The sequence below is a fragment of the Homo sapiens genome, chromosome 14 (assembly GCF_000001405.40).
Source record: "Homo sapiens chromosome 14, GRCh38.p14 Primary Assembly".
NCBI classification, from domain to species: Eukaryota; Metazoa; Chordata; class Mammalia; order Primates; family Hominidae; genus Homo; species Homo sapiens.
The window spans coordinates 26,782,323-26,807,388 of record NC_000014.9 but is presented as its reverse complement, the minus strand read 5'-3'; the positions used below and the strand labels follow the sequence as shown (position 1 = coordinate 26,807,388).

At 36.8% G+C, this 25,066-nt stretch overlaps 2 long non-coding RNA genes across 2 annotated transcripts in view, besides 1 other annotated feature; one reads left to right on the top strand and one right to left on the bottom strand.

The window, feature by feature from the left end:
- Nucleotides 1–25,066, top strand: part of LINC02294 (long intergenic non-protein coding RNA 2294) — a 46,626-nt gene that overhangs the window by 14,732 nt on the left and 6,828 nt on the right. The window lies entirely within an intron of this gene.
- Nucleotides 922–25,066, bottom strand: part of NOVA1-DT (NOVA1 divergent transcript) — a 207,821-nt gene continuing 183,676 nt past the window's right edge. Inside the window, exon 7 of the long non-coding RNA NR_147061.1 lies at nt 922–1,153. This is a non-coding gene — a long non-coding RNA (NOVA1 divergent transcript). The remainder of the gene's footprint in view (nt 1,154–25,066) is intronic.
- Nucleotides 15,967–16,475: an enhancer, noted in NCBI's record as "OCT4-NANOG hESC enhancer chr14:27260120-27260628 (GRCh37/hg19 assembly coordinates)". NCBI's record gives its function as "activates a minimal SCP1, AML or CMV promoter by ChIP-STARR-seq in primed H9 embryonic stem cells {active_cell/tissue: H9 hESC(primed)}" and the evidence as "EXISTENCE:reporter gene assay evidence [ECO:0000049][PMID:30033119]".

The following is a 25,066-nucleotide window of genomic DNA, read 5'->3' as shown; positions in this document are numbered from 1 at the left end:
ACAGGCACCCACCACCACGTCCAGCTAATTTTTGTATTTTTAGTAGAGACGGGGTTTCACCAATTATATTTTTTAAAGTATTTATTTAGGTCATCTGAAAAGCAGACAGCAAGATGGGAGTAGACTTACTTTTTTTTTTTTTTTTTTTTTTTTGATGGAGTCTCGCTCTGTCACCCAGGCTGGAGTGCAGTGGCGTGATCTCGGCTCACTGCAAGCTCGGCCTCCCGGGTTCACGCCATTCTCCTGCCTCAGCCTCCCAGGTAGCTGGGACTACAGGTGCCCGCCACCACGCCCGGCTAATTTTTTTTTTTTTTGTATTTTTTTTTTTAGTAGAGACGGGGATTCACTGTGTTAGCCAGGATCGTCTCTATCTCCTGACCTCGTGATCTGCCCGCCTCGGCCTCCCATAGTGCGAGGATTACAGGCATGAGCCACCACGCCCGGCCAGATGGGAGTAGACTTTCAAGAGATTCTGCAGTTAGAAACAACTGCAAAGAATAAAGAGGAGAAAGCAGGATCAGGCAGAGAAATCCTTCAGACTGCAATGCAGAACTGATGTTGTTGACAAGAAAGGGAAAGAAAGAGAGTGGGGCAGGTAGAGTCTCAGACTGCAGTGCAGCTCTAAGAAAATCTGAGCCAGAAAGACAGGAGTCCCCAAACCAAACTTTCCTACTAGGGAAGTCCAATGTCTCATCAGAATGGGCCACCATCAGATGCTTTCAACAGCAGAGCTCAATGGTGCATTTCTGTCTGCCTTGGTAGTTTTGGACTCTTCCTGCATCTCTATGAGGATTGTAACCTGGAATATGAAGACACTTTTACTTTGTAAATGCCCAAAAGTGAGGCAAGGTCAACTTACCTTCCAATTGGAGATAGGAATTCTATCAGTGTCACAGCGACTAAGGACTCAAACCAACACAATTGCCTTATGACAAACACTATATTTAGAATAACACAGCTCTTCATTCACATGGGGAATTAGAAAAAAACCCTGAGGACTTTATTCTCCATTCATAAGGATGTCTCTTTATTTTTCTCATGATTGATTAAACATATCTTGGAATAAGTTTTTCAGTAAGGGTAACATCCTTCTTCAGAATATGCATATGTAAGAACTCCTTTCCATCGCCTTTGCAGATACACACCAACTTGACTGAGAGGAAATAAAAGAAATAAATAGTCAACGATACTGTTCCATAGGCGAGGCACATTTCCCCCCAATTCCCCCACCACCACCCGCATAATTCTTAACAGACCAAGGTAGAACTGCAGCTATTGCCAAGTGTGAAGGGATGTGGGGTTTGAGGATGAGACACTCCAAAGTCACTGAGGAACAACCAGAGAAATGAACTCAACTACATATAAACTGGTAGTTACTTGAACTTGTTTTATCATACATCATTTTACTCTCTTATTTGGAGAGGTTAGGAGGATAAAAATCATACAACATAGACTCCTTTGGAAACCGGGTTTCTAGATGTGAATTAGCTGCATTCACATGGCATTTAGGGGCAGTGGTGGCTGGCAAGCAAGTTTTGACAGGAAGGTTTTTGCTTCAGACAGGCTGAACGTTCTGCTCCCTTGTCATCAACCATCAGCATATATGATGGCAGTGGAAGTAGCCCTGGGAATAGCAGGGATTTGCGATCTTATAGCAAAAAGTCTAATGATAATCTGCTTGCAATGCTTTTCTAAAAAAGTAATTCCCTGTAGAAAGCCTCTTTCTGCATGGTTTTGTTTTTTCTGAACAGAAACCTTAACTAACACAATGATCATGCTATAGAACTGTGTGTGTGATAGGGAGGTAAATGGATGGAGATCATAAGGTGGAAAGCTATGGAATAACTGCACTTGCATCAGGATGGAAGAGCATCATGGAAAAGTCATGATGCTGCTTATTGAAGACTAAGAATCTTCCAAAGAAAGGAAACCTAGTTAGTAAATTCTGGGGTAAGAACATCCTGGAATGAAATACAGAGATGATGGGCATGTAAAATGGTGAATTTTCTATGAAGTCAGGTAGTTCCTGAATGGATTAAACAGAATTCAGATATTATCTAGAAATTTCACTCCTAGGGTATATCCAATAGAAATGAAAACATATGTTCATACACAAACTTGTACACAAATGTTTATAGCAGTTATTTATAATAGCCAAAAGATAGAAACAACCCAAATGTTCATCAATGTACAAATAGATAAATAAATGTGGTATATCTATACAATGGCATATTACTTGGCCATAAAAAATGAAGTGTTGATACATGCTACAAGATTGATATGACTGAAAACATTATGCTAAGTGAAATAAGCCAGTTTTAAAAGTCCATATATGATATGAATCTATTCATAGGAAGTCCACAATAGAAAGATCTATGGAGACAGTGGTTGTTTTCAGCCAAGGAAGGAAAAAGGGGTAAGGGTTTGATAGTTAAAGGTTTATGGGATTTCTTTTTGAGGTGGTGGAATAGTGGAAAAGTCTTTCCAGACACAAGAAACAGAGTAAGTCCACAAAAAGGAGTTGGTAATTTTATTTGTTCTTGCCTTGCTTTATTGCTGCTACTTTTTATAGGGTGTTGTTTTTAAAACATAGTGTATGTAAAACAATGCTACCCCTTCACAAACTGACATTTTTGCTTTCTTGTACCAGTAAGGCATAACCAAACTTGAAAACAACATGAAATCCTCTCTTACATCTTTCTTTTCATGTTGAAATTGCACTTACTCTTTTATTGTTGGCGTATTTTGATTTAGAGTTGTGTTCTGGTGTATTAATTCTCTATTACTGTGTACCAAATTACCACAAATTTATTAGTTGAAGGTGACATCTCTTTATTATCCCACAGTTCATTAGTTCAAAAGTCTGGGCGCAAATGCCTGGATTCTCTGCTCAGGGCCTCACAAATCCAAAATCAAAGTATCAGCCAATCTGTAGGCTGTAGGGAAGAATCTACTGTTAAACTCACTCAGGTTGTTGGTAGAATTCAGTTCCTTGCTGGCTATTGGATGGCAGTTACCCTAGGCTCCTAAAGGCAATTGTTTGGTCCTTGCATGTGGCCCCTTCCATTTTTAAAGCCATGAACACAACAGCATGCAACATCTTTCTTACACTTTGAATCTCTCTGATTTTCTTTCTGCTGCCAACTAGAGAAAACTAACTCTGCTATCAAAAGGCTCATGTGATCAGGTTAGGCCCACCAGAATAGTCTCCCTTTTGATTAGCTGAAAGTCAACTGTTCAGTGACTTTAGTTACATCCGAAAAATCACTTTTTCAATGTAAGGTAACACAACCAGGGCATACTCTTTTGTTACATTCACAAATCAAAAGGTTAAGGCAGGAAATCTTGTGGGGAGTCCATCTTAGAATTTGATCTGCTAAACCTGGTTTAGATGAAAAGATTTCTATGAACAAGTAAACTTTAGAAGTGCTGTCTAAGAAATGATAAGTAGGGTTTTCTTTTCTCTGCAGGACATCTCCACATTTTTAAATGGTTTCTGTACATTATGATTTTCCAAGAAGATAACAATCTGTGTTAATTTTTTAAAATTGTATATCATGAGTCATTATATCAATGTAGTACATATGACCATCACTGTTCATAGGAAAATTAAACTGAGTAAAAAAATATTAGAATCAACCACAATAGGTTAAAGGTATTTTTGTGAATGATTTTATACTCATCATCCATATATGTATGGTTTATAATGTATCAGGTAATGTCCTAAGAATTTTACCAAAAGCAACATATTTTAATTTAGTAATAATCTTTAGTGATAAAGAAACAGAGGCAGAGAACTTTGCCAAATGTGACACAGGTAGCAAATGTTAGAGCTAAGATATGAAATAAGGTTCCACCTGGGTTTGCAGAATCTAACTACTATAGGGCAATGTTCTTAAGCATCACTCTAGTGCTAAAAGCTTTGTTCTTTTTTCAGAGCTTTTATGTCTAATATATTTAATAAGTAACCTCCTATGTTTCCTAAACATAGATTACAGTAAAATCCTTTGTTGATTCCATCCTGTAGTTCACTGTGTATCTTGAGAAACATCATTTAGAGATGCTTTTGTTTATATGTATAATATAAAAACAAGGTGAATGGAATACTGCATGGCCATAAAAATTAACAAAATCTTGTCCTTTGCAAAAACATGGATGCAGCTGGAGGCTACTATCCTAAGTGAATTAATGCAGGAACAGAAAACCAAATACCACATGTTCTCACTTAAAAGTGGGCACTAAACATTGAGTACACTTGGACACAAAGAAAGCAGCAAGAGACACACCAGCACCTACTTGAGGGTTGAGAATGGGAGGAGGCTGAGGATCAGAAAACTACCATCATGTACTATGCTCATAACCTGGGTAATGAAATAAACTGTACACCAAACCTCTGGAACACACATTTGTCTATGTAACAAACCTGCACATGTATCCCCTAAATCTGAAATAAAAGTTGGAAAAAAGACCAACAAGATAGATCTTATGCAGATGGTTCTAAATCAATTTCAGTAAATTAAAAACTTGGTTTGTAACTTCAAGGATTGCAAAATATTTTAAAACTCTATCTAAATAGTCCCTATTTTAAAATGCTTCTTGACTTATGATGGGGTTACATCCTGAGAAACCCATCATAAATTGAAAATATCATGAGTAGAAAATGCATTTAATATACCTAACCTACTGAACATCATAGCTTAGCTTAGCCTACATTACTATGCTTAGAACACTACATTAGCCCACAGATGGGCAAAATCATCTGGCAACACAGTACACCATAGGGTACTGGCATTTACCCTCATGATTGCCTGGCTGACTGGGAACTGCGGCTTACTGTCTCTGCCCAACATCAAGAGACAGTATCATACCACATATTCATAGCCCAATAATCAAAATTCAAAATTCAAAGTCCAATTTCTACTGAATATATATAGCTTTCACACCATTGTAAAGTAAAAGAATTGTAAACCGAACCATCATAAGTTAGGGACTGCCTGTATTTCAATATTTTTTAGTAGAATTAAGAGTAATACAATTTTCAATTATTATTTAGGTTTATAAGACAGTCCAGGAATTCACTGAAGTAAAAAAAAAAACAACTCAATTTCCAGAGCTTGATTATACCATGGAGGCAAGAGTAAATGGCATTAAATCAATATCCTAATATATCAAGCAGCTTGTAGAAGCAATGAACTGGATTGCTGAGAGCATTGTGGAAGAATCTTAAAAACATACCGTTGAGTTAAAAAAAAAATGGAAATGGAAAAATACCTAACTAAAGCACAATGTCATTTAGGTAAAGAGAAGGGGATCATCACACATACAGACAAATAAAGATGTCACTGTATTTTTTCGAAAACACATGCGTATCTACCACATAATGGGTACATCTAAGATTTAAAAATATCTACAATATTAAAGGCACCACCAGCAGTGATTTGTGAACGGTCTCATGCCATCTGCCCACAAGCTTCTTCCATGAAGCCTTGCCAAGTCCTGGCTCCATCTTGGAAACTGTCTGGCCTTCACTCCCAGGGGAACTTTGGCTGTTTTCTCTTGTCCCCACCTTCTGTCCTTGACCTGCACATTCACTTCTATTGATCATTTCATTCATTAATTAGAAGTAAGATTAGCTATTGCACCACTCTGTTTAGCTGATGTGTATATCTTTGGAAAGTCTTCCAAGTAAAAGACAGTTCATATTACTTTTAATTTGTTATCTATGATACCAGTAATCATTTCTTCTAGAAGTTAGGCATCATGTCTTTGGTCAGGAAAGTGACTTTCTATGGTAACATGGTTTCTATAGGAACATCCATTTAAACTATACCTTTCAAAGCATCTTTTCCTGAATACAAATTCTCAGAAAAACAATGCATATCCATAGATTTTTGATGGCTAAAAAATAAAGTTTATGTATATGTTATGTAAAGTTTATGTATTTGTTAATCTTTCTCTGCTTATTTTATCAGGATACAGACTGAGGATATTTATGAGGTTTCACATCATATGTCTCTATTTTGCAAAGCATTTTTTATTAATAATGACTTAAGAATTCCCTGAATGTATTTTAGGAGTCAGTTGTATAAACAATTACATGCAAATAGTTTAACTAAAATAACCTAATTATAAAAGAAAATTTTCCTATCTCAAAAGCAAAGAAATAATAGTCATGACAACATATATTATTTCTGTCATTCATTTACTATAATAGTCAAAAAATAACACTTCAAATTCTTGCTATGCCAAGTTTTGATGAGATTACTCTATTTTTCTTGACAGAAGATGTACGAAAAATTCTTATTGAACTTATAGCTAAGTGAAAAATCCAGAAAAAAAGCTGGATATGTCAGCCAATGAGAGTGACATTGCTCATTGTGAATGTTCAAGTTTAGTAATAAATCCTCCCTTCAGCGCACAAAATATTACTTACTGCAATAGGACTCAGTTCCTCAGCTTACAGTTTAGGTCATACATGTGTAAGCTTCTTGCTAATATTTTAATTTAACATTAAGAAATGTCTTCCAGATGTTATTAAGAAAATGTAATGGTACAGAAAAATGAAAGTTTGAACAATAAATATTTGCTTTGATGAACAAATGGAAAACATAAATTTAAGAATACTTAAAATCTACAAAAAGATTGACTTCTCCGTGCAGACAGATGCACAATAGGTTACCTTGCAAAACTGAGTTGCTTACTGGTAGCCCCAGCCTCTATCATGCTACGATAACCCACTGTAAGTCTATATCATTGCCTAGATATCAGTATAGTCTCTCACATAACAAAAAAGTGTGTGGATGATATCATCAAGACAGTTACATTTATCAAGTTCAAGTAAAGTCTTATGAATAATATTTCAAAAATAAATATAATTTGTTTCCCCAGGAAATAGATGTGTCAAGTCTGCTATTGTGCAGGACCTTGGATTAATATCCATTTCAGTTGATAAGCTTCAGAAACAAATTATGCTTTCATCAATACTTTCCTTAATTAACTCTCATACATATTGTCTGTGTATTCAGATGGACTCTGCAGTGCTATCCTGTAAATTGACCAAAGAGGACAATTGATTGAGACTCTCAAAAACAAGCTTCCTTGAGACAAAAGAACTTATAGACCAAAAAGTCAAAAAGGCCTAAAGTATTCCAGGTATTTTAGCACAGATTCAAATCAAAAGTTGGTAATCATTCCAAAAGAATTACTGGGATTCATCAAGGAGTGTATTTTTGTACATACCTCCAGTGTTATTTACAGCTGTTACAGCTAAATTTCAGTAAAGATTCATTTACCCCAGCTTTCTCTCTCTCTTTTTTTTTTTCTTATTTGCTCTTTGTCCCTTTGTAATTCCTGCCACAAAATTTAACCTGTTCTCTTAAAGTTTAACAATAACATAGTCGGCCGGGCGCGGTGGCTCACGTTTGTAATCCCAGCACTTTGGGAGGCCGAGGCGGGCGGATCACAAGATCAGGAGATCGAGACCATCCTGGCTAACATGGTGAAACTCCGTCTCTACTAAAAATACAAAAAAAAATTAGCCAGGCGTGGTGGCGGGCACCTGTAGACCCAGCTACTCGGAGAGGCTGAGGCAGGAGAATGACGTGAACCCGGGAGGCGGAGGTTGCCGTGAGCCGAGATCGTGCCACTGAACTCCAGCCTGGGCGACAGAGCGGGACTCCGTCTCAAAAAAAACAAACAAACAATAACATAGTCATCAACTCAAATATATATATCTTTTTAAATTTTATATATAATTATATAAAAATATATATTATAATTATATATAAATATATTATTCTATATTCTATATTATATTATATATTATACATATTTTTATATACTTTTTATATACTTTAAAAATATACTTTTGTATACTTTTTTATATACTTTTTAAAATTTTTAAAAATTTTTCTCCTCTATGACCTGAGAGCTATTATGGAAGATTCTCCTTCCAATTATGATTGCCTGACCCTGTCCCTTTCTGTTTTCCTCTGACTTCTACAGCCATTTTTTCTCTGTCTTTTCTCTTGGCTTCTTTTCCTCAATATATGTGTCTTCACCCCATTCCCTTATCTCCTCCTTTTTCGTTATTGTTCTTCTCGAGCTCTCTCTCACTAAATATTAAATATTTAGTGGCTTTAAATATTATTTATCACCAGGTACGGTGGCTCACACCTGTGATCCCAGCACTTTGGGAGACTGAGGCAGGCGGATCACCTGAGTTCAGGAGTTCAAGACCAGCCTGGCCAACATGGCGAAACCCCATCTCTACTAAAAATACAAAAAATTAGCCGGGCATGGTGGCAGGTGCCTGTAATCCCAGCTACTCGGGAGGCTGAGGCAGGAGAATCTCTTGAACCCAGGAAGTGGAGGTTGCAGTGAGCTGAGATAGCAACACTGCACTCCAGCCTGGGCAACAAGAGCGAAACTCCATCTCCAAAAAAAAAAAGTGATTTCTCTATGGCCCACCAGCAAGTCTACATCCACCATCACTTTACTCCTTCATTCTCATTTCAAATTACTTATTTGTTTAATCTATTTTGAGACCATAACAGAATCTCAAAGGCCATATTCATAAAGTTGAATTTCCCAAATTCCTAGTTAAAATGAATTATCCGGTTTAATTCCCTACTTCAGTTAATGGCTTGGGCGTTTTCTCTACTCATCCAAGCTTTCAACTTAAGAGTTTTTAGAGTTTGATTTTCTTTTTCTTTTTCTTTTTCTTTTTTTTTTTTGTCTCACTGTTACCCAGGCTGGAGTGTGATGGTGCAATTATAGCTCACTGCAGCCTCAAACTCCTGGGCTCAAGGGATACTACTGCCTCAGCCTCCCAAATAGCTGGGACCACAGGTGCACACCACAGTGTCTGGCTAAGTTTTTTATTTTGGGTAGAGATGGGGTTTCACTATGGTGCCCAGCTGGTCTCAAACTCCTGGGTTCAAGTTATCCTCCCATCTAAGCCTCCCAAAGTGTTGGGATTACAGGCTTGAGCCACCATATCCAGCCTTTTCTTCTTCTTTTTTTTTTTGAACTTCATAGACCTTGCCTCCATCAAAATAGTCAGTTGGGAGGCCATATTGATTTTCCCACTGCAGTATTTAACATCTACACCATGTACCCCCATTTCACTGTTACTGCCATCATTATCTCCTTCCCATTATACTATATTAGGTTTTGTCAACATTGGTATAAATAGTTCACTGTATTAGAGTATTCTCTGTAAAACCTTTTCAAGTCTCTTCTTGATCCTGGCTTTTTCCTTTTGAACACATAACCTAAACAGGTTAATCTTCTCTTAATTTACAATATCTTAAAGATGATACAAAAACATTTAAATGGGCTGGGCATGGTGACTCACACTTGTAATCCCAGCAACTGTGGAGGCTGAGGTTGGAGGATCAGGAGTTGAAGGCTGCAGTGTGCTACATACACACCACTGTACTCCAGCCTGGGCAAAAGGATGAGACCCTCATCTCTAAAAAGAAAAAAAAAAGAACTTTAAAATGGAACTATGATTGTCCTCTCTAGGAGCAATACTTAATCATACAAAACTAGGAGTAGTTTAGGGTTAAAAATAGCTTCATAGTATAAAAGCTTTCAACATGCTGCATCTAACTTGAAAGCCTTATCCCCCCACATTCAGTCTTTCATTCAGCCATTTAATCATCAAATATTTGTTGAGTACTTCCTATGTGTCAGACACTGTTTTAGGCACTGGGAATATACTACTAAGCAAAACAGACAACCTGCTTAAACGAATTATCCTTATACTCTAGGGGTACTGAGGGAGTACACAAAAAATAAGTAACGTAAAGATTACCTACAACACTCTGTGTGCCACCATAGTCCAATATAGATAGGAGAGAGATAGGGTCCAAAATGATAAATGCCACAGGGCCTAGAGAGAAACTGATTTCCTGTTAATAGCAGGAATCATATAGGCCACACACTGAATGAGAAAAACACTTTTTCAGTTTCAGCATTACACAGCATAACACAGTAGAACGCAAGTTAAAGCAATAGCTACAGCTATAGAACAGAGCCTGTACTTCAGGTGCAAGCTAGTGCAATTACAAAGTGAAAGACTGGTAGTCTTCACCTGCTAGTATGAAAGTTACCATTCCAGCAATGGCATTAAGAAATTATCACCTAGTACAAGGCCACACTCTACTAGAATAACTTTTCCTTTGATCACACCTATTTGATAATTTCTCCAATTTTTTAGTGAGTATACTAGTCAGGTTTCTCCAGAGAGACAGAACCAATAGAAAATGTATAGATGTATAGATGTATAGATATACGACTTAATTATAAGGAATTTGCTGATGCAGTTATGAAGGTTGACAAGTCCCAAGATCTGCAATCAGCAAGCTGGAGATCCAGGAGAGCCAATGGTGTAGTCCCAGGTTCAAGACCTAAACAAAACTGAGGTCCCAGCTCAAAGGCTGTTAGAAGGAGTTCCCCCTTAATCATAGAAGGGCCAACAATTTGTTCTAGTCACACCTTCAACTGATTAGATAATGCTGACTGACATTAGGGAGTGCAATCTGCTTTACTCAGTCCACCTATTCCAATGTTAATCGCATCCAGAAACATCCTCACAGACACACCCAGAATAATGTTTGACCAAATATATGAGCACCCAGTGGCCTCCTTCTTTCTCTTTCTTCTTTCTCTATGTATACATGTATGTATGTATGTATCTACCTAATATCTATGATTCTGACCAAAACCGTGGATTCAGACATTATCAATTAATGCTATCTTTGTAAACCATGTATTAATAGAACACCTTATCCTACTATTAATATTCAATAATGAGGCAAAGTAGACCACAGCCTGCAATTGTCCAGGATGAGTAGCAGAGGTAAACTGTGCCTCCTGTATTGACTTTCAAGGCTGCTTTTCTTGCTAATTGATACATTTTCTTATATATCATTTTGTTAGCATTGGCAGAGATCAGAGTTACCCGGAGTTACCGGCAGGTCCACAGCAACTTCAATTCTTGCCTCCTCAGAAGAAAGAATTCGACTGAGTGGCATAAAGCAGAAAAAAAGACTGAGGCAAGTTTCAGAGCAGAAGTGAAAGTATATTAAAAAGTTTTAGAATAGTAAGGAAAGGAAAGAAAAGAAGGAAAGTACAACCTGGAAGAGGGCCAAGCGGGCAACTTGAGAAACCAAGTGACTTGGGGTTTTATACGTTGGCCTGCTTCTGGGACCTTGCCTTACTTCTCCCGACTCCTGAGACCTTATTGGGAAGCTGCTGATCAGTTTCAGGTGTTTTCTGTCTATCAGGAGACTGCCTTTCCCTGGTGCTGGCTACAATCAATTATTACTTCAGAGAAACAGTTAACAACTGCCTGACCATCACGTGATGGTCAACACTCCTGGTGTGTGTTGGTGGGGAGCCCTCTCCTGCCCTGCTCATACCTGACTAGCTACCTACTCTAACAATTTTATTTATTCTTTAAACCACTTTTTGTAAACAAAACTCAACCCCTTTTAAACTAACCCATACCATGCTGCTTGCTAGATTAGTCTTTCTAAAGCACCATCCCACCTTATCATTCTGTGTGCAAAGGCCTTTCATTTTTCTCAACTGGTTTCAGCATAGTCTACTTTATATAAATTATATAACCTACTGCAAAACCTTGATGCATACTATTAACTAGTCAGGGTGACATACTTGTTGTCCTCATTCATATATGGCTCATTCTATTCCTTTTTTCTATGACATAACTCTCAATCCCCAAATTTTACTCACTCAAAATCCTTCCTACTCTTAGGACTTAATTAAAATGTTATTTCTTCCATGAAATAACATGAACTGTTCCCTATTCAAAACAATCTTACTTTACATAAAAGAATTTTTCTATACTCTGCACATGCAGCATTCTCTCTTTGAATCAACCTCCTAATGTTGGAAACCCTAGTGTTGAATCCCTGATAAATCCTCTTCTTTATCTGCACTCACTTCTTTGGTGAGTTCATCCAACCTAATGGCCTTAAACATCTATTTGCAATGTCTCATAAAGTTGATTTATGCTACCCAGTCTTCTCTTCTTTGTTCCAGACCTATGGTACCAACTGCATACTTGATATCTCCTCCAGAATGTTTAATATACCTTTCAAACATAACCTGTCCAAAACTGAACTCCTGATCTTCCATCCACAAATACTCTTTCCTCTCTCAAGTGATAATATCATCCTTGCAGTTACTCAGGCCAAAAACTTGCAGTAACATTTTATCTGCCTTTCTTTCCCTCACAAACCCTGTCCAATCCCCCAGGAAATCTTTTTGACTCTATCTTCAAACTTTATCCAGAATCAAACTGCTTCTCAGAAATTCCCCTACTATCACTTGGTTTTGTCCACCATTATCCACTTGTGTGGGTTTTTGCAACATCCTTCTAGCTACTTGCCAAGATTCTATTCTTACCATTCGTCATACAGCAGCCAATAGTCTGCAAAGGCCTACGTGATCTGTCATTCCCATTGCCTCTTTCACCTTGTGGTTTTCCCTTTCTGTCTGATTCACTCTACTCAAGCTGCACTTGTCTCCTTGATATTCCTCCCATACACCAAGCTAACTTCCATTATGGGCATTTCCAGTGACTAGTTTGTCTGCCTGGAATGTCCTTCAAAATATCCTCATAGCTAATTTCCTCACCTCTAGTATTTTCATAAATGCCACCTTCTCTGTGAGGTCTATTCTGACCATCTATTTAAAAATGTATCTTTTTCTATCCTATACTGTTGATCAGCTGTATCTGTTTTATTCATTAACCATGGTATTAATGGCCTTCTAATATGCTATATAATTTACTTTTGTGTATTTTTTGCGTCTCTCTCTACTAGAATATAAGATCTACAAGAACAGGTATTTTGATGCATTTTGATCACAAATGTATTTCAAATTCCAACCTTGGTGTTAACTGAATTTTCCTTTTTTTAAGTGATTTTATGCAATACACACTGCAGTACTGTTATTTGTGTACAGCTTATTTCCTTTCTCAGTTTTTGGACTCCATGAGGAGACTATCAGTGTCTGATTCATTTTTGTTAACCACATCTGCATTCACAGTATTCAGTATCTTGCTTTGCACATGAGAGGTAAGTCATAGTACAATTTTGGTACAAAAAAAATACAAATTCAAACAAATTAACTGTTTTTAAATGGTGTAAATTAATTTTGGGTACATAACTATTTCACTGAAATGAAATAAAATTTTTCTATATACTTTCCATATTTAATAAGCAACTAAAACCAGGAAACTGGAATGATGTTGGGAAGTGAGACAGGGTCTCCTTCTACATCTTTGTGGAGCCAGATATTTCATCTCTGGTTGTCTGCACATTTTTTTTTTTCATTTATGTCTGTCTCTCCACCCCTTCCCTTCGATCTCTAATCCATCTCCATATAGTATTTTACTGCTTCTTCATATTTATATAACAAAAGATGGCTATCCATAGCTTCCTAGTTTAACTCTCCCTCAAATAACACTTGACCCATTTCAGTTTTAGGGGCTTGGGCCTAGCTATAATGACAGCCATAAAAATTTAACCCGCCAAATTTTATTCAAGTCTTTTCCTAACCATTTAAATGGCCCTCACTATAGGCCTAAATCTCCTACTTCGAAAAAACCTGCCTAGTTCAGCAGACTGCCAATGGACATCCAAACTCATTCAAGCAATAAAAGGAATCTTGACTAGGTTGAAGGATTCATTCTAATTAAATCAATTCCTTTGTCCCATTCATCACTCATTCTCTTTAAATAGCTATGCCAATTTATTTTGCCTTACTATAAGATTTATAACCTTGTGTTTATAGTGGAAAAGAAATGGAAAGGTAAGGTGAAAAGAAAGTTTCAAGCTCAACAAAGAAAAAGTATTTTGCCCAGTTTTCGCTTATAGCAATGTAAAATCTTTAGGCAAGATATCCTGAGTTATAATTTTTTTAATCACTATGATCTAAATATTCTCCTTTTTTTCTCCCCGAAATGTTCATCTTCTTGTTATTACCGCTGGTTGTCAAGAAGACACTAGATCCCGGCTTTCTACAAAAAAAGCTGGGGAAAAAATACCCCACGACATTATTTAACAAAAATGACAACAGAATTTTAAGAAACAGATTTTGTCTTTTTGATATTCTTTTTCCTTTTCACTTACTTCTAAATGAAAAATAACAACCAGAGATACTAGCTGAGAAAGCATACGATGAATGTCACTGCTCATCGGGCTTTCACCTGGACCACTGTTGTCTTTCTCCAGTCTATCCCACACTGACAGAGTTTAAAAACACAAATGCTTTGACACTCTTCCCATTGTGATATGAGGTCCACAGCACCTCTCCTTTAATCTGGGCAAGTTTATAACTGCTTTTACCGCTAGAATATACTATGTGGCTTCCACAACTAGGTCATAAAAATATCTATCCAGGCTTTCACCTTCCTTACTGGTACACTTGCTCTTGGAGCCCTAAACAACAGTGTAAAACTGCTGACTTGGGGTGGAGTCATGTAGATTCCCCCATCAACATTCCTAACTATGTCCATTCTTTTGCCATCCACTCTACCTGCTAGAGATGTGAATAAAGAGATCATTTTTAAAGGGTGTCCTCCAGCCCAAACTGTTTCAGCCTTCACCCCTTCAAATTGCCTCCAGTAATTGAGTCATACCATGAGCATAATAAAATGATTATAGCTTTGGAGACCTGACTTGTGCAGTAGTTTGTTACACAGAAATAGATAACTGGCCCACATTTCAAAGCTTTAGTTGTTGCTTTTGATTCCTGAACAACGTCTTCATTAACAAAACATTGACAGCCAGTTATCATGTGTAAAGGATGTGATAAACTTTACAGTAAGGTGTTAATAGGTGATAACCCAATATAAGCCTCTGAGCCTCCAGCTTCCTCATTATTAAATCAGGAGTATGTGCTATATAGTCTCCTGGATTCTTTTCACTTTGGATCTTTGCAGGACTCATGAGATGTGCCTTAATTTAGAGAATAAAGCACCAGTGGTAGCACTCATGGATGCATAATTTAATTTTCAAATATTTAGCTTAGAATCTCTCAAATATATCATTAGGTTGTCATTCTCATCAGTTTGCTCTGACATTAACTCTAGTCAAGAGACTGTCAATTCAACATTTTCTTAACGGGAGCAGTATACCTCTACATCTCTTCCCTAATTATTCCTTAAATAAGATGTGTGATTTTTGATGAACCATCCAGGTACTTTCCTTCTTCACAATAATTCAGAGAAGCAGTTCTCTCAGGACCATACTAATGCCATTAGTGTCTGTAATGTTGGGCCAGAAGTATTTCTAGTTATTTCCTCTGGAAGGCAAATAAAAATGCTTGGGAAGTTTCCTAAGGATCAGATTTACTCAAGCAGTATTTTGTCCCAATGCATTCATTTGTTCATCACTAGAAATGGCATTATATCGTCATTAATTCCTATATTAATTTTTATATTAAAGAAGATGCATTTCTGAATACTTCTAAAAATTCTACTTTAAAATAGATTTTGCTTTAAATAAAGGTGCTTCTTTTCCCCTCTTAAAAGTTAGTGCAGTGAAGAAATTACTCTAGTTTGCTAGGACATTTTTTTCTTTCTTAAACAAGTATTCCTAGTTATTTGTTCATTTAATTATTGTTATTACATAGCTAAAGATTTCTTTTTTTTTCTTCAGATTTTAAAATCTCTCTTTCCTAGTGGTAGACCACTGACCCTTAGTGAAAGGAACGAAACCAGTGAATTTAGGTCATTAGCATCTGAATGGAAACAGATTGTGACAGTTAACCAAGTTACACTACCCATTAAAGTTTAAAATCTGCTTTTCTGAAAATCCTGAGGTAACCCTCACACCACAGATTGCATGTGTTGTTCTTTTAAAAGCGGAGAATGACATTAAAATAACTATGAAATTATTTTTGAATGGGAACATATTGAAACTTATCATTATCCAACTCTGGTGCTTTGACTAAAATATAAAACACTTTTGCTGAAGCATTGAAGTTCTCATTAAGTAGCCCTGGCTTAGTCAAAGCGCAATTGTTGACCTTCTGTGCTTAAGGCATGTGCTGTTCCATACAGATAGAGGCTTTTCTACCACACTCTTCTTGATGGTTCATAATGGAGTGGCATGTGCATGTCAGGAAAAGAACAGACCTTAATTTGAAATATTAAGTAGTATACGCACATAAAAAGCCTTCATTAAAATATTAAAAGTTTGTTAAACCCATAAGAGCTAAGAGATGTGTTCCTATGAGAGGAAAATTCCAACCTCGAGCTCTCTCCATATCTTAATTTCTGACATTTGTTAATAAGAAAGTACATTAACTTAGAAAGTCATTTTATCCAGTAGCTACTAAAGTGCTACTAGACTACCAGAGGATTAGTTCACACTTTACTTTTTGCGGAACACAACAGAGGAGTACAATATACAGTCATTGTATCCCTGAAAGTGCCAAACTTACAAACTTAAGGCTCATTTTGTCATCATGAGCTAAATGGAGGATTGGCGGGGGAGTGTCCTCACTATAACAATTTTCACCAAGGCATTGATAGCCTCATCAAGATTTTGATATTATAACGATGTCAATGGACAGTTAGATGCTCATATTTTCAACCTAAATTTGGGAAGCACTTACCATCAGAAAGTGCCTAAAACAGAGGGCTTTGAGTCTCCAGTTTTGACTTTTTTTTTTTTTTTTTTTTTTGAGATGGAGTCTCACTCTGTCACCCAGGCTGGAGTGCAGTGGTGTGATCTCGGTTCACTGCAACCTCCACCTCCTGGGTTCCAGGGATTCTCCTGACTCAGTCTCCTGAGTAGCTGGGACAACAGGTATGCGCCACCCCGTCTGCCTAATTTTTCAGTAGAGATGGGATTTCACCATATTGGCCAGGCTGGTCTTGAACTCCTGACCTTGTGATTTGCCCACCTCGGCCTCCCATAGTCCTGGGATTACAGGTGTGAGCCACCGCAACTGGCTGACTTTTTAAAATATAAAACAACATATCTAAAGACTAATTTTTATATTAGTCATTAAATGAACTTAGTAATTTCTATATTTAAAAAGATGCATTTCTGAATACTTATAAAATTTTAACTTTAAAGTAAATATAGCTTTAAACACAGGGTTTTTCCCCCTCTTAAAAGTTAGCATCATGAAGAAATTACTCTCATTTGTTAAGTAACAGGTATCAAAAAAGTGGTAATATTTATATATACCTAATCTTTAGATATTGTTATCTTAACAATTTAAAAATCATATTACATCCTGAAATCCACCATAGTGCTTGAAAGGCACCTGAGACATAATTCAAGGGCTATTTGTTTAATATATAAATTTGTAAAATGCTTTACTTCTGCTGAGTACACTTTAATAGTATCATGAGGATAAACATTGAGGGAATAGCAAGTATTGCTCCAGTAACAACTAGGCTAGGGAGGACTTCGTGGATTTACAAAAAGGAAGAAAAAGTTCACAAATTGGTAACAAAGTAATATGTGAAAATTAATGTATTCGTTTTGCTAGAGCTGTCACAAAAATTACCACAGATGGGTGGCTTAAGGAACAGAAATTTATTTGGTTACAGTTCTGGAGAAGTGTAAGATCAAGGTATTATTCTGATGCCCCTCTCCTTGGCTTCCAGATGGACACTCTCTCCCTGTGTCCTCACACATTCTTTCCTCTGTTCCTGCACAGGGTTTTGGTGTTTCCCTGAGTGTCTAATTTTCTTCTTTTTGTGAAGACAACAGTCAGATTGGATTAGGTCCCCCCTAAAGATCTCATTTTAATGCAATCACATCTCTAAAAACCTTATCTCCAATACAATCACATCCTGAGATACTAGGAGTTAGAATTTCAACGTATAAACTGGGGAGACACATTTCAGCCCATAACAACTAGTTTCTCAACTTCAAGGCCGCAGAAACCCACAATGTTAAAAATGGAATTTTGAAAAAACTGAGGTTTTATTTCTTTGGAAATATATTAGGAAGAGACATTGAGGTCTTTAGATATTCAGAAACTATAATAAATTTGCAAACAGTACAAGAAAATTGTGTAATCAATAAAAGTAGGCCTTGTATCAACTGCAAAAGCAACAAATTAATGTCATCGTATTATACTATCAAAATAAAGCATCACTCTGCTGGAACAAAAAGTTGTTTCACAACCTATTTGAGAGAAGAGAAGGGGAAGGTATGAACTGAGCAATAATCAATTGCTATATATGGCTACATATGAAATCTCACTTCCAGAAGATAGATGTGGGAGCTTGGGAGGAAAGGCAAAGTCAAATGCTAATTACTAGCCTAAGGCTTACCAACCCTTACAAACCAACAGGGCTTTCTTGCTGGACCCTACTTTCTACTCCCTAGAATGACCATATGTTCCAATTTGCCAAGGACTATCCCAAGTTATATCTGTTGTTTCTCAGTCTTATGACTGGTTAGCATCCCCTCTGACAATCAAAATTATCCTTGTTTGTATGATGTGATCATCTATCATTATGGCCCCTTCTCCCACAACATGCATATAAACCCACACAAATAGCAAGTATTTGAGGTTTGGAAGACCTGGTCTCCCATCCTCAATAGATACCACCCCCTCCCCATACTTGCTTATCCAACCTCTTTCCCTTTTGACCAGTGAAGAGAAGCTGAAAGATCTCAAGTTCTGTTTTATCTATCTTTGATGTATTAGTCTGTTCTCTGAGACTGGGTAATTTATAAGAAAAGAGATTTAATTGGTTCATGGTTCTATAAGCTGTACAGAAAGCATAACACTGGCATCTGCTTCTGGAGAGGCCTCTGGAAGCTTACAATCATGGCGGAATGCAAAGAGGGAGCAGGCACATCACATGGCAAAAGCAGAAGCAAAAGAGAGAGAGATGGGAGAGGCACCACACACTTTTAAAGGACAAGATCCCTCCTCACTCACTATTTCCAGGACAGCACCAAGGGGATGGTACTAAACCATTCATGAGAAATCCACCCTCATGATCCAATTGCCTCTCACCAGGCTCCCAACTCCAACATTGGGGATTACCTTTCACCATGAAATTTGGGTGCGGACACAGATCCTAGTCATAGCACTTGATAATACAACCTAGGTTCTGAAGAGAAAGAAGAAGAGTTCCTGTAATATTTTGCAAATTCTCAGATTTAATCTCAACAGTCATCAAGGTATAATAGAAAGAGGACTGGACCAGAAATAATATCAGAATTCTGGTCCCTACTTTTTTAGTTGTTAGTCCTGAGACTTTTTACACATTATTTAAACTGTTTAAGCCTTACTTTCCTCATTCATATCAAAGGAATAGGGTGGATAGGGGAGCATGATATCCATCCTGCCTATTTCAGTGTCCTAAAGAATCAAATGAAATACTGGCTAAACACTTTAAACATCCTTTAAGCATCATATGAATGGTAGTTGTTATTATTCTTATAATCAGAGAGAGAAATAGACAGCATAATAATTAGATGGGTTTATTTAAAGGCCTTATCCACGACATTAGAAGTGCCCTCTAGGAGCCATATCTTCTCACTTCCAGACCACCATTTTCTCATTACTGTACTTTCACCGTGAGGATTCATATGAGTAAGGTGAAAGGACAGAAGCTGAATTAAGGATTGCGTGTCTGAATATACTGCAGAATTAAGGATGAATGATTGAAAAACCTACAAGTTCAGAGAGGAGGAAAGGTGAAGTGAGATAAAACTGTAAAAGTACTTGATAAGCTTCCCAGTCAGGTCTTCAAGGGCATTGGGACATTTAAGTGGTGATACGTTAGTATCCTATGCTTTTTATACTTTGATTCCGGGGAAAGGGAAGTTGGGGAATGAGAAGAGGGAGAATAATAAAAGAGAAAGGAGACTGTAAAAACAGCAATGGAAAGACATTTAGCCTTTGCTTCGCCCGTTTTGACTTTTTTTAAAAGAGGACACAGCAAAATGAGAATCAAGATGTGGGACTATATTCATCAACATAGGCCTGGATGTATGAGAGATTACCTTGACTTATTTGTTTTTAATGTGTTTATATGTTTCTTCAAGAAAAAAAATATATAAAAATATACAGTTTTGTCCCTAGAAAGACTGTTGCCTAATACTCAATCGGGTGAAAAAATAAAATAATACATGGTGAATCTGGAAAAAAAAAAGGACTTACCAACATATATTCTAGCACAATATTCCCCACTTTTCACTAGCCATCCCATTGGCTTCTTTTTTATCTGTCGTAAAATTCTCACCATTCCTATATCCACAATTTAGTTTAACCTGGAGATATATCTAACTATGGATATAATGTATGTGCTCCAGTTTCCAAAAAGTAATTCTATGAAGTTGCCAGCTGGCCAGCAGAGTAAATGGTGTCTTCACTTGTGTATTCTGAACTTAAAAGGTCATGTTTAAATTGATAGTGACTATCCAAACCAATTAGAGAAGGATTAGATAGTGGAAGGATTTAAAAGATTTGCAGAAATAAATAAATAAGAGCCATGAGAAAGTGCATATCATGAATAAGAAGAAGCCAGGAGGTAAAAATAGAAAAGCAAAAAGTAGCCACAAGTAAAAGCAGAGAAACAAGTGGAACAATAGAGTGATTAGTAAAGGGAGCAATGGGCATTTGCCTACAATGGGACAACTAAAAATCTACGGAGACACGAAGAACTCCTTGAGGGCTTGGGATTTGATTACTGAAGCAGCTTCTTGTACTTTCCCTCTTCTCCTGTAAACCTACAATGAACTCCCATCATAACGGGAAATCTAAGCATGTTTATTTCTTATCACTTGGAAGTAACATAATAATGCAATGGGAAAGTGTAAAGAAAATGCATGTGTTTGTGCTGGGCAGCATTTACAAGTCAATTTTTCTTTAGAATTTAACCAGGATAAGAACTCAGAACTTTTAACCTTCAGAACCATATTAATCTGTTCCAAGTCTTTCATCTTACTGTTAATACACTGTTAAGTATAACTTTTCCCCCATCATGAGTCAATATTTTAAAACAGTACTTAGCTTAAGAGAAAAATGTCACTTAATAAGATAATATCATCTCTCTCAGGTACGCTGAAGTGCCCTCTTAGTTCATTAATGTAAATCAAAGTAAGTACATTAAGCTACTAGTCATAAAAAAGTTCAAACCAAAACACAAATGAAATAAGATAATTCTCTAACATACTTTTCCCAACCAGTATTTGATCTATAACTCTCAAGACTTCAACTGATTAATATCGTCTGCCATAAAAACACCCATGATGGAAGCCAAACGGTTTTAAGAAATTCTTATTTCACTTCTCCTAGATTAACTCTTACACAGGGTTGAAAAGATATCCCTTGACCACTAGCTATGTTCAGAACCACTTCTGCCATATATGGTTGGTCAAGTAGTCACAAAGCCTGCTCAGAGTCAAGGAATAGAGAAATAAACTCTACGTCTTGGTGAGAGAGTGGAACATCACATTGCAGAAGAGCACACAGGATGGGAGGTCTCTGGTCATCTTTGGATAATACAATCTGTCAGCCTCCAAAGTTAAAATGTGAGCACAGATATATTTTACAAAATATCTTCTGCATTTTTTTGTATTTTTATAGTATTTTCACAATACTTGGCATGCAACAAATATTTTTGCAACAAGTTTTATTTTTCAAGCAAGCTTTGAAATATTTCTAGTATGGCCACACAGTGTACAAAAAGTAGAGGTGCTATTTTTTGGGGGTGGGGTTAGATATAGACAAGAGGATGTTATCTATAAAATGTGGTTTAAATTTCCAACTGCAGTAAGGTTATTGTTTGCCTTATGTTTTCCTTGATGAAAGTGGCCAGGAAGACTTCCATTCTGAAAACTTCACCTTCTAAAAGCCTCAAGTGGTGAATACTATTTCCACGATTACATAACTAGATTTGATCTCTGGGTGTGGACCATGCATGTTCTTAACCTGAGGTTGATTTTTCTCTCCTCTAAGGATGCATAAAAATTAGTTTCTAAAGGTTCCTATAAACTTTCATCAGACAAGTAGTATTAAAGGAAAAAAGCAAAAAACAAACAAAAACAGCCTTCAGTATTCCAGATGAAGAACCTCCTTTCGATTGTTACCAAGGAGACCTCATCTGAAGCCTCCCTCTGTGCTTGACATGCATTGGCTCATATTCATCACTCTTGACAGTCTCATATGTGTCACTGTCCAGTAAAAATCCTATCTGTTACTATTAATAAGCTACCCTTTGCCATATTGATTAGGTGCTTATCTGAGGTTTACAGACAACAACCTCTCTGCTTGTCTCAGAAGCCTCATATTAGTCAGAATGGTACCCCTAACTCTTTACTCCCTATCTTCCTGACTTTAGGTACACACAGCTTTGACCTTAGATATTTTCTTTGTACCTCTGTCTTAGCACTCAAATCCAGACATTTTCTTGAACCTTGTTACAGTGTTAACTCTCAGACAACCACACTCTGCTCCATGCATTCCATATCCGGCACTTTCCAGAAGTCGTTTGGGTATGGCTACTCTGCCTAAACTACAGATGGTAGAAATGTCCGAGCCAACACGTGGGGCTTCTAAATAACACGCACACAATAAATTTTAAAAAGATGCACACAAATATCCCATTTTCGACATGACCTAACTCCATTTCTTGATAACAATAACATAGTTAAGTGAAACTGGCACAAAACTATTAGATCTAGTCCAGTAAATCAGTGGTATGACACACAAAGTAGATATTAGGAGGGAAAGGAGAAGCTTGTTCCCAGCTTAGCTGTAAACTGTGCTCAAAGATTCAGATGCTGCAGTAACTCCCTAGAGAGCCGATGGGTGGAGCCCGCTAGGAATTTATTTCATTGACATGTCCACCTCGAAAGCAGTTTATCCAAAGAATGAGGCATGCAAGCTCAATTTGAGAACGACATCAATTTAGAAAGAGGAGGCAGTTATCAATAGGTGCTTTATGTGAGTTTCATGGCCTCACATTTGTATTCTAGGAAAATTGACTTCCAGAGAAAATAAAAGCTGTTTTCACCAAAATCTCCATGAGATATTGGGACCATGAAGTCCAACATGAAGTGGCTACTCTGGTTGCTTATATCTGGGACATATGTATCCAAGCATACCACAAAGGTGGGAGAAAGGGCTTCTCTTCCCCTAAGCATAGAACAGAATGGCCACATGGTGATTCCTCAGCTTCAACAATAACTTCAGTTTTGGCGCAGCAAAGCAGCTTCAGTTCAATAGAATATTGACATTGCTCAGTTCCAGTGATTTTTATCCAGAGACTATGACAATATCAGCAGCCTTAGAGTTCCTTTGAAGGATTGTGTGGACTTTGATTATTTTAGCAGCATACAATGCCTTAGAAGTATGGACCAACAATGAGGGCAAAAATGAAAATTTTAAAAGTTACACAGAGGTCCCAAAATAATTGGTGGAACTTTGAGATGGGCTACAGTTTCCACAGTAGAAATTAAGGAAGATACGGAAAACTATTGTTTGTCATTTTTAAGCTTAGTCCATATTGGTTTCTTCATATAAATATTTTTTAAAAAACAAGATATGATTTAAGATGTAGAATTGAGAAAAGCCCCAGCAGAACATGGCGATGAATGTTAAACATTGGCTTCTCTAACCCTATAACTTTGCAATCTCTTCCTTGCCTACCTTTTCATCTTTCCTTATTTTGTTTATACACATGAAGGATATTGGATGATGGAGCCACTGACCTATGCCTCTGCACAAAATAGATCCATTATATGCATATAAAAAAGAGAATGCATAAAAACAAACACCATGCGTAAAATTAGAAGAAAACATTTCAGTAGTACATTCAGTTAAAGTTGCTGTTCTTATTTAGGATGCTATTATAGCTTCTTTGCTAGAATGTTGATTTCTAGAATTGTTCGCTGCTAGCAACTCACCATAAAATTCAAGAAGTGTGTCATATAAGATCTCATCAAATACAACAATTAATCAGATTCTTTTAATTCTCTGCATACATTTTCTCAAAATAACACGTAGTATCCTTAAGAAAATGAGTTCTAAAATATGATCAAAGCAAAAATAACCTGTTTCTGATGGAAGCATAAAGTCTCTAGCAAGTACCTTTCTAACTCATATAAACAGAGACAAATAGGTTAATTTTGTTTATTGTTTTATTTTTAACAGCTCTCAGCAGGATCTCATTTACACATTTTTTTTTTTACTATAACTCTCTTTTAAAAGGGTATTTCCTCAAGACAAAGAAACTTCCTGGCATAATTGGCATGAGCATGTTATGTGAAATTGAATTATGTTAGCCAGCATTTCTCTAATTACCATTTTTTCATGGGCATCCATTTTTCAACAATAATATTAGAAAAATAATTAATACCTCAGGACAAGGACCTGAACTTTATGCAAATATAGATTAGAAAAGTCCAAATTATTTTTTAATGAGCTATATGTATTATGTCTCCCTATCTAGAGTTCATCTGGACCATGGCATTAAATAAGCTTAGAGTTAATTAAGCGTATTATAACTATTCCTGGCTTCTGCCATTATTAGTATGAATCTGCCAGCTCAGAGGCACGCAGCAAACATGAAAATACTTTATCAACACCCCTCTCCAAAACACCTTGAAATATTTCAGTCCTGTCTATACTCTTGGGATAATTCTAGAAGCTCAAACCTATTGGACCCATTTTGAAATCCATTACTTTTCTATTTATATAAATATGAATTTCAGGAATAGAGGAGGCTTTCTTTGTAGATGTTGATTTATATTAATAAGAGCTATTGCCAAACAACTGCTCTCAAGCACATGCACACACGAAGGTAGGATATCTCTTGCTGCAGAGATATTGGCTCAGGCAGCAGATTAAATGAATAGATTTGCTTCATATTTGAGTGTGCTAAATTGAATACAAGTCATAATAGAAAATCTCAACATGCAAATGAAATCAGAAGAGCTTTTCTAATTTTCAGGAAGTGAATGACAGAATCACCCTTTCAGTTTAAAAAAAAAAAATCTTCAGACCACTCATTAATAGCTGATCACATTTTGGCACT